This window comes from Homo sapiens, chromosome 2, assembly GCF_000001405.40.
Source record: "Homo sapiens chromosome 2, GRCh38.p14 Primary Assembly".
Taxonomy (NCBI): Eukaryota; Metazoa; Chordata; class Mammalia; order Primates; family Hominidae; genus Homo; species Homo sapiens.
In genome coordinates this window covers 22,540,047-22,550,810 of record NC_000002.12, presented here as the reverse complement: position 1 = coordinate 22,550,810, position 10,764 = coordinate 22,540,047, and the positions used below count along the sequence as shown (strand labels likewise).

At 37.4% G+C, this 10,764-nt stretch overlaps 2 long non-coding RNA genes across 2 annotated transcripts in view; one reads left to right on the top strand and one right to left on the bottom strand.

Annotated features, from left to right (window-relative positions):
* Window positions 1-2,026: 2,026 nt before the first annotated feature.
* Window positions 2,027-8,077, bottom strand: LOC107985857 (uncharacterized). Its single transcript, XR_001739331.2, has 3 exons — window positions 8,003-8,077; window positions 7,256-7,379; window positions 2,027-2,175 (listed from the first exon to the last, which is right to left on the bottom strand). It is a non-coding gene; the product is annotated as an uncharacterized LOC107985857 (long non-coding RNA).
* The window catches only part of LINC01830 (long intergenic non-protein coding RNA 1830), a 26,798-nt gene continuing 22,108 nt past the window's right edge, over window positions 6,075-10,764 (top strand). The window contains exon 1 of the long non-coding RNA NR_187227.1: window positions 6,075-6,159. This is a non-coding gene — a long non-coding RNA (long intergenic non-protein coding RNA 1830). The remainder of the gene's footprint in view (window positions 6,160-10,764) is intronic.

Below are 10,764 nucleotides of genomic sequence, written 5' to 3'. Positions count from 1 at the left end.
GATGAGCAAACAACATAGAAATAAAAGCCGTGTGTATGTTGGTGTGTGTATGTGTGTGCAAGCCCATTGGTGGCTTTTTCTTCTTCTTCTTTTTGTTTTTGCTTCAGGTCATTTCCATGCCTATGTAAATCTTTTCTGAAGTTTCTGTGAGTTTTCTCTTGCCTTCCAACTTGTGAGGCTTGTAATCAGACCCTTCATTTAGTATCTAGAAAAGCATGGCCTGGAACTCACTTCCTCCCCACCAGCTTAATATTCTGATTACAATCTTGCTTGCCTTTCCAAGGTTGGTTCACAGTTGTTTCCCGAAATGTTATCTCATCACTCCAGTTGAAAGCAACATTTTCAACCTGGATCTTTTTCATTCCTGATTTCATCTTCTTGGCCTTCTCATTCAGACACGTTTACCTTTCTTATCATCTCCTTTATTCTCTGCTATGTTAGCTCTAACCTTGCTCTTCTGTAATTCAGGATTATATTGCTCTTAAGACCAAAGGGCCTTTCACTATTTCAAAGAGCATCTCATTTACTCCTGATGGAAATGTGAGTTCCTTACTGTATATCCTATCTCCCTCTCCTTTTCCTTTCCACAAACATGCAGGCTTTTCTTTTAAATAATCAGAGACCTCTCCTGAAAGGCCAGATCAGCTTTAACAAGGTAGAGGAAGGTATTTTCCATGTTGGGACAGTAAGCTCCAGGAAGAGAATGAAGCTTGAACTGGCTGTGGGAGATGATCTAATGTTTGCTAAGACATTGCCACACAGAAAAGGGGAGATCATTCTAGTGATTTTTTCTTTTTTTTTTTTTGAGACGGAATTTTGCTCTTGTCACCTAGGCTGGAGGGCAATGGTGTAATCTTGGCTCACCGCAATGTCTGTCTCCCAGGTTCAAGTGATTCTTCTGCCTCAGCCTCCTGAGTAGCTGGGAGTACAAGCATGCACCACCATGCCCAGCTAATTTTTGTATTTTTACTAGAGACGGGGTTTCACTACATTAGCCAGGGTGGTTTCAAACTCCTGACCTCAGGTGATCCACCTGCCTCGGCCTCCCAAAGGGTTGGGATTATAGGTGTGAGCCACTGTGCCCAGCCTAGTGAAATTTTTAGAAATGGAATTAGTGAGTTAAAGGCAATTAATACATTTAAGCCTTTTTAAAATAGATATTGACAGATGACTTCTCAGTAGGGTTTATAAGTAATTTATACTCCCATTTATGTTAATGTAAATGTGCCTCTTTCATCTTCCGCCAACAGGCATTGCTTCTGTGTATTAAATTTAAATAATTTCTAATTTGTTAGATTAAAAAGTGTGTATTATTATTATACTATTTTTTATTTATTTGATTCCTCATGGGGGTGAACGTCTTTCTTTCCATGTGTTTGTTAAAGTGTTCTATTCCTATTTTGAGGAATTCAGTTTTTTGTCCATTGCTCATTTATTTACTGGTGTCTTTATATATTTATATAAAGAATTTAGCACTTTATTGCATCTGGAGTATGTTCTGAGAAATAGACTAATAGCAGGATTCATATGTTTTAAAATTCCATTTCTATTACCCTAGCTCTTTTTATTGTTCTTATCCTTCTACTCTGATTGGGGATGACATATTTATTGCATAATAACTTATTTTATATGTCCTTAGATTGGCTTATCACTTGCATATAACAGAATTTCTTTTGCTGATAGGCAAAGGACTCCTTTTTCGATGGAGTTTATTTAAAGGTAATAATGGAAAATATCAAATCTGGAAATATCTTAAAACTGGTTTATATTTTTCAAAATTGTGTTCTATTTCTGTCTCCTTATTTTTTCATGCACAGTAAGTAACTGAAGAAGTATTCTGCTTATTGATTTTATATCTTGGCAGAAAATTTAATATATTTCAGAAGAAAGTACAGGAAAATAAATAAGTTATAACCACCCTCATCTTGTGGTAAAGAGTGTATTAACCAGATTCACATACGTGTTTGAATTGTAAGTGTTAATGAACAGAACTGGGTTTTCTAAATAAGCATGCTTCACACTTATGTTCATTTATTAATTCATTCATTCACTAATTTCACAAATGTTACTTGCCAGGGTTTGTAGTGTTTATAAAATATGTAATGGTTAATATATCCTCTTCTCTTCTCCATTTTGGGTTTGTTTTTTGTTGATGGGTGTACCAGTAAGTAGGATCTAAAAGGAAATACAGATTAATTCAATGTAATGAAACATATTTAAATAAATGTGCATAGACATGTAGCTACCTTGGGAAGCAAGGTGACCATTCCAAAATGCATAAAGAGATTTCCAATGTGTACAGACCTGAGGACCACAAGCAGTAATCATCAGTGAACAGTGCAGGATTGAGAAGGTGACCCAGGACTAAAAAGGGGCAAATGCCATTTTCATATTCATTTAAAAGGAGAAGCAGATGAGTTTTATGCCAACTCATGGCATGATTTTATTTTATTTATTTATTTTTAATTTTACTATAAGTTCTAGGGTACATGTTCACAACGTGCAGGTTTGTTAGATATGTATACATGTGCCCTGTTGGTGTGCTGTACCTGTTAACTCATCATTTACATTAGGTATATCTCCTAATGTTATCCCTCCCCCTCCCCCCACCCCCCAGCAGGCCCTGGTGTATGATGTTCCCCACCCTGTGTCCATGCGTTCTCATTGTTCAGTTCCCACCTATGAGTGAGAACATGTGGTGTTTGGTTTTCTCTCCTTGTGATAGTTTGCTCAGATGATGGTTTCCAGCTTCATCCATGTCCCTATAAAGAACATGAACTCATCCTTTTTTATGGCTGCATAGTATTCCATGGCATATATGTGCCACATTTTCTTAATCCAGTCTATCATTGATGGACATCTGGGTTCGTTCCAAGTCTTTGCTATTGTGAATAGTGCCACAGTAAACATATGTGTGCATGTGTCTTTATAGCAGCATGATTTATAATCCTTTGGGTATATGCCCAGTAATGGGATGGCTGGATCAAATGGTATTTCTAGTCCTAGATACTTGAGGAATCGCCACACTGTCTTCCACAATGGTTGAACTAGTTTACAATCCCACCAACAGTGTAAAAGTGTTCCTATTTCTCCACATCCTCTCCAGCACCTGTTGTTTCCTGACATTTTAATGATCGCTATTCTAACTGGTATGAGGTGGTGTCTCATTGTGGTTTTGATTTGCATTTCTCTGATGTCCAGTAATGATGAGCATTTTTTCATGTGTCTGTTGGCTGCATAAATGTCTTCTTTTGAGAAGTATCTGTTCATATCCTTTGCCCACTTTTTGATGGGGTTGTTTGATTTTTTTCTTGTAAATTTGTTTAAGTTCTTTGTAGATTCTGGATATTAGCCCTTTGTCGGATGGGTAGATTGCAAAAATTTTCTCCCATTCTGTAGGTTGCCTGTTCACTCTGATGGTAGTTTCTTTTGCTGTGCATAAGCTCTTTAGTTTAATTAGATCCCATTTGTCAATTTTGGCTTTTGTTGCCATTGCTTTTGGTGTTTTAGTCATGAAGTCCTTGCCCAACTCATGGCATTATTTTAAAACTGTAGAAGACAATGGCCTTTGAGCCCCTAGAATAGAAAAAATACTTCCAGAAGCCAAAATGGGCTAAGCAGCAGTCATGTCCAAATTGAAGTATTTTTTCTTTCCTTTCTAACTTAATGCTAAGGCTTATAATTCAAGAAAACGCAACAGACATAACACAAGTATTTTCATTTCTTTGTAGATTAAGTGTAGAGACATTGTGTGGCTACAAAGGAAAAAAATAAATTATTAGCTGGTAAAATGTATGTTTGAAATGAGCTTAGAAAATTATGAACTAGAGAGATTGCTAAAGGCCAGCAGGATGCTGTTGAATACTTTTTCCATTTTAGCATTTTTATCAGTAATTTGAGTGGCAATACTAACTTGAAAGCTAACAGACTTTCCAAATTGTCGGATGATATTGTGTAAATCATCATCAGTTTTGTTCATTATTTAATTATTTATTTTAGAAATCCTAAGTGGAATGAAAAGAACCAAATGTAATGATGTGATATTACTAAGAATGTATGAGAATAAAAATTTAGATCTGAAAAATCTAATTATATGAATATGGGATGGGGGGAGGCTTGATTTATTAGTTATCCATCACTGTATAACAAATTTAGTCTAAAACTAGCAGCTTAAAACATGAAGTTTTATATTCTCACACAGTTTCTCAGAGTAGAGTAGTTTGGTGGTTCTGCTTTCTAAGGTCATATTCAAGGCTTAATGGGGGCTAAATATTTTGTTGCTCAGATGACTCATTCACATGGCTCTTGGTGATGAGAGGCCCTGTTTCTCATTGTTTGGGCTTTTCCATTAAGATGGTATGTCCTCATGACATAGCAGCTGACTTCTTCCAAAGTAACGGAGTCAAGAGGGAGCATAGCAGATATCACTTATAACCTAGCCTCAGAAGTGATAAACTTTCACTTGTGTTGTGTTGTACATCACATAGACCAACCCAATCATCGTGCAATGTAGCAGGAAGCTACAGGATGGCTTGAAGCCAGAAGGGATCCTTGGGCCTGCATTGGAGCCTGGCCACCACACATGACTTGCTGTAGTGCTGTAAAAATGGTTTGGGGATTTTTTTGGGTTTTGTTTTTGGTTTGTAAACAGTGTAAATTATTGGTATGATGTAGCTGCCACAAAAGTTTATGTGATATAAACTTTTCACAGCCATATCATGGCTGTGTCCCCACACAACTCTCATCTTGAATTGTAGTTCCTACATTTCCCATGTGTTATGGGAGGGACCCAGTTGGAGGTAATTGAATCATGGGGGCAGGTCTTCATGTGCTATTCTCGTGATAGTGAATAAGTCTCATGAGATCTGATGGTTTTATAAAGGGGAGTTCCCCTGCACAAGTTCTCTTGTCTGTTGCCAAGTAAGATGTGCCTCTCGTCTTCTGCCATGATTGTGAGGCCTCCCCAGCCATGTGGAACTGTGCTCTTTTTCTTTATAAATCACCCAGTCTCAGGTATGTCTTTGTTAGCAGTGTGACAACAGACTAAAACAGGTGGCATCAAATATACACATGCACACACAAACAAACATACACACACATATTATCCACTGTGTACTAGTAAAATTATAGATGTGATAAAAAATGTATGAGACATGTATATATATTATATATATGAATATATTCATAAGGAAAAAGTTAGGGAAATTTAAAAGTACAAAATATAAAATGGAGGATCGGCCTTGTATTCTTAGCCTGCATAAAAGATCCTGTGCAAGAGATTCAAAAGGCAATAATCAAAGAAGCATGATGTGAAAAAGGGAGTAGACTTGCTTTGTGTCTTTACAACAGGTGGGGACATTCATCAATATGAAGAACACATTGGAAAGAAAACATATGCTAAATGAGGGAAAGCTTGTGTAAAAAAAATGGAAAACTACTGAATTCTTTATCACTGCTTCTACTTATGGAAAAATAGGATAGCACTTGGTTAAGATATCAATAAGTATGTTTGAGAGGGATTTGAGCATTGAATGGATTATTCATTCCTTTAGTCATTATTTCAGAAGAGAGTAAATGATCGTCTACTCACTATACACTGAGAGTTGTTTTTAAGGTCTGGATTGAGAGGTTGGTGAATGAGCAGGCAAGATCCTGTTCTTACCAGGTTTTTCTCTGATTGTGAAAAATATACAATAAACAGGTAAACTAATGCAAAAATAAGTTTACTTCACTGAAATAAAGCAAGCTAAGATAACAGAGTGTGATAAGGCATTTGTGGATAGTCATGTAAGCTAGTGGTCAGGGAAGACTCCTCTAGGGAAATGAACATTAACACATTTATGCCGGAGGTTGAAATTTTTTGTTTGTGAAAAATCAGACCTTGGCGATGACTTTGAGCAGTAGGATATAAATAATTCCCACAAGTTTAGTGTTCCAATAGTGGAACACTAGGCATAAATTGGTTAAACCAAAGATCTGAATGGTGGAAGGATCCAGCTATGTCATAATGCAGGGAAGGAGAATTTCAGGCGGAAGGAACCATAAATGTAAGGCCCATTGGTTGGCTTAAGGGTAGTGTGTTCTATCTGCAAAAGGCGACCTCCCTGATTAGATCATCACAAGTGATGGGGGAAGGTGGGAAGACTCCAAGAAAAAAAGGTAATATCAGGTGGAAAGTCTATCACTTGTAGATAATGGTAACGAGCTTAAATTTTATATTAGTATATTCTAAGAAATATATAGGTTTTGACATATTCTGCTTTGCACTTTATAAAATCATTTTGTTTGCTTTGTGGATTAAAAAAAGGCTATACTAAGGGAAACAATTAGGTGAAAGTAGGAAAAACAATAAAAGGCTATTGAATTGCTCTAGTTTGGGAGAAAAGAGATGCTGTCAAATTATTTGTTGACACATCTTTGGGAACAGATTTTGACTGGTTCCTGGGAATACAGAGACAGAAAAATAAAACTCACACTTAAAAAAATTATTCTAGGCTTTATTCCTCTGTTACATGGGTGTATTGCATAGTGGTGAAGTTTGGGCTTCTCACGAATCTACGTCCCAAACAGTGAATATGGTACCTCATAGGTAGTTTTTCCACCCTCACACCTTGCCCTCTCTCCCTCCTTTTAGAGTCCTCAATGTTTATTACTTCCATCTTCATGTCCATGTGTACCCATTTCTTAAAGAACTGAAAATAGAAAAATCATTTGACCTAGCAATCCTACTATTGGCTACCCACCCAAAGGAAAATTAAAAAATTTATCAAAAAGACACCTGTCTTTGTATGTTTATCACAGCACTATTTATAAGAGCAAAGTCATAGACTCAACCTAAGTGTCCATCAATAATTAATTGACTAAAGAAAATGTGACATTTATATTCACCATGGAATACTATGAAGCCATAAAAAAATAATGAAATCATGTCCTTCACAGCAACATGGTTGGAGTTGGGGTTCATTATCCTGAGTGAAATAACTCATACTTTTATAAACCACTCTGCCTATAGAGATGGTTAGGCATGCACAGCTGTGAGACAACTCTGGTAGTTGATGGTGAGATGGAGAAAATGTTGACAGAGCTGAACAAAGACTGAGTAAGCAACAAGGTACCATACAGAATTCATTGGCCTGAAAGCTGCACAGATAACCTTTGAGCTCCTATTCAAATATGAGATTCTGTGATTCTACTAAAGCTTTCAAAAGACTTCCATTTGGTTCTGAGTTTGACAGCTTAGGGTTGTGAGACCTACCTTTCTTCCACATGGCCATGAAGAATGGGGGATTGGATATATTTTTGGATGCTGGAGGAACAGTGATTTATCTTCCCCTCACCCATGTGTCGTGATGGTTAAGCTCTGATCCTGAATGAGGCCACTGTAAGACAACTTAGGGTGAGGTACATTACATAGTGTCTCTTTTTCAGAAGCTAAGTCTAAGGCTAGTACTCTGTGTTACTGATCAATTCCTTTAATTCCTTTGGGTTCACTTTTTATTATCTGAAAAACAAATAATAACCTGTTCAACTCTAATGCTCGTTCTACTCATGTCACAAAGGTGTTGAGATGACAGAAATTATCATCACTGCAGACAAACTTTGAAACCTAATTGAAATCTGTAGAAAAGTGGATAGCTATTTGAGAGATGAGACAAGGGAACAGCCATCTGAGAGACCTTGTTTCTACTTAATGCTCAGTTAGAATAAGCTGGACTTCTAGCTGGATATCACGTTTGGTTGGCCACACACACTGACCTTTCTGTATGTTGACTTTTTTTTTTCCACTGCCCTGAGACAAGCATAAGTCTCCCTGGGGGAGTGAGAAAGGGAAATGGAGCATGAAGACAGAGTTAGTCTTTTTAGCACAGATCACCAGGATTTCATATTTGCAAAGAGGTCGAAGTCATTTATGTTAATTTCCTCTCCATGCCTGTGATGGGTGTGCACTGCTACCCTCATTTATAGATCAGAAAACCAAAGATAGTAAAATCAAGTAACTTACACTTGGTTTCACAGCAAATGAATCGCAAAGCTGGGGAAAGGATCCTGGGTCAGACTGTGGTTTTAAAACCTGGGACCCAGCAGCATCTGAGAAAGTAGACGCAATATTCTCTCACTTAATAATCACCTGTGAGTGGTTTTGACAATATAAGGCTTTCTAGCCCTTGAATAGACTTTATTATGAAATACATCTATTTTTTCTTTCTTAGGGTTGGGTTTTTCCCATTTTATACTCGGATTGTCAAGTATACAGCCTGACTTTTTTATGCAAGTACACTGATGATATTAGGTCCTATTTAACTCATAAAGCAACATATTAGGCAATAACTATGAGTCTGAGGCAAAACTCATGAAATTGTAGGGGCAGAAATCAGCTGATAGACTGATATTTCACAGAGACCAAGGATAATAAAACACTGATTTTAAGAATGCATGGATAACACTGTTTCCCAAACTATCTTCCATGGAACCTAAATCTATGCTAATAAAAAACAAAATACAGAAGTTTTAAAAAAATAAGATGGTGCATTTCTAATCAAATAAATTTGACCTTTACTACAGGTCTTCTGGATGCTTTTAAAATGATAATTCCTTACAATATTGCATACTACATTCCATTCTTACAGTAAGAATGGAATGTAGTATGCAATATTTCTCAAACTTATTTGGAAATGAATATTTTTCTTTTTTTTTCTTTGACTGACACGAAACAGGACTATGTTTCATAGATCGGTTGGGAAATACTGAAATGTAATTTTTCCTGTCTTGACTCCTTAAATAATTTTGTTAGTATTGATCTCAATTTTTGCTTACAAGGTTGGATTTCCAGCTTCCCCCAGAAAAGACCTCTCTTGCTACGTTAATCTGTACATCATTCCTCTATTTTCTAACTCCAAGCTCTAATTCGTGGACGAGTGGGTAGTTTCTGCCCACCCTTTCCTGGTGCCTGCTTGCTCAAGCCTATTTTGACTTTGTTTTTCTCTTTCTCTTACTTAAGTGATACGTATAATGTTGTTTTCTCAGAGGGCATGTTGTTGCATATCTGAAGAGGCTCTGTCATGCAGAATTTCACATTTACGTAGGAATTGAATGCATATACCAAAATGATGATCACATAGAGTGACTTATCTTACATGTACTACTTGAGGCACAGAGAAGAGAGGCAGGACGTTCAGAGGAAGTAGGAAACTTGCAGTCAGAAATCAGGGACCAGTTCTCAAAAAGAGTCTTTAACCATAATGTTAGTTTAGAAAAAGATAAAATGGCGTTTCGACAGATACATGCCAGGTGAGAAGGGAGGAATATGGCCAAAATTGTTCAATTCCTCTTTGGGAGAAGAAACTGGAAGTTGTGCTGATGACACTAGAGCCTTGTCCGTAACTGCATTATCTTCTTACTCCAGGAGCCCAAAATGTGAGTGGAAAAAATAAGGGTGCCCAGTCAAGGTGGCTACATGGAGTCTTCTGTGCTCTGCCATAGATTATCATGGGAAGAACTCAAACCATAGAAAACAGGAAGTCTGGAAAGCTGAATCCAAATTGTTAAAACTCCTTGGGGCCCCCTGGAATTCTAGGTTGAACTGAGAGTTTTAGTAAATTTTCCCAAAGTTAAAACAAAATGTCTCAAAAGCTTTCAAATTTTACCTGAAATCTCAGAAGTGCCAAAATTGTCTTAAGAGAAGCTTCTGTTATGAACACCAACTCTTTCATGATTCCCTAATCCTGCTTTCCTTAAAGCAATTGAATAAAGAATGGGAAATGTATTTTCCAAATGTGAATATATCTGAATAGTAAATGTGAATATTTTTGAAATGTGAATAGTAAACTATGTAGAGATGAGGTCTTCTTAAAGCTCTGCACACAGTATGGGAAAAAAGCAGCTCGGGAGCTAGGGTGCTGAGCAGAGAAGAGTGAATGCAGCTGGCCTGAGACTGCCTCTCCTTAGAAAGGCCTTCTTACAAGGTCCATCTTTGACTGACTGGTGTCTGGTAACTTGACTGGTAAATAGTTGCTCACACTGATATTAAACATTTTCTGAATGGTCAGAGTGGCTCACTGTGCAGAAACCGTATAAACAATTTCTTTATACTGTATACCTGCTTTGTTTCTGTGCACTTGGCATTTTTAAATGTGTTATGCAGAAGGTGTCTATGTGAACATCCTGCAGTATAAAGCTTGGACGCTGAGTCTGTAATGTACTTCCCTGATAGACAACACTTCTTTTGTGTTGCCACAGCTCATTGCTGGTGAATTAAGTCCTGTGTGACTTCCACTGGCATAGACTGTTTTGAAGCTAGTGCTTTCAGCACAAGTGTCTTTTCCCATTGCTGTGCTTGCTTCATATCTGATACGGTTCGGCTGTGTCCCCACCCAAATCTCATCTTGAATTGTAACTCCCACAATTCCCAAGTGTCATGGGAGGAACCTGGTGGGAGGTGATTGAATTATGGGAGTGGGTCTTTCCTGTGCTGTTCTTGTGATAGGTGATAGTAAATAAGTCTCATGAGATCTGATTGTATTAAAAACGGGAGTTTCCCTGCACAAGCTTTTTCATTGCCTGCTGCCATCCATGTAAGACATGACTTGCTCCTCTTTGCCTTTCACCTGCCACCATGATTTGTGAGGCCTCTCCAGCCACATGGAACTATAAGTCCAATAAACTTCTTTCTTTTGTAAATTACCCAGTCTTGGGTATATCTTAATCAACAGCGTGAAAATGGACTAATACAGTATCCTTTCACTGTAATATGTCTTAGCTGTGAGT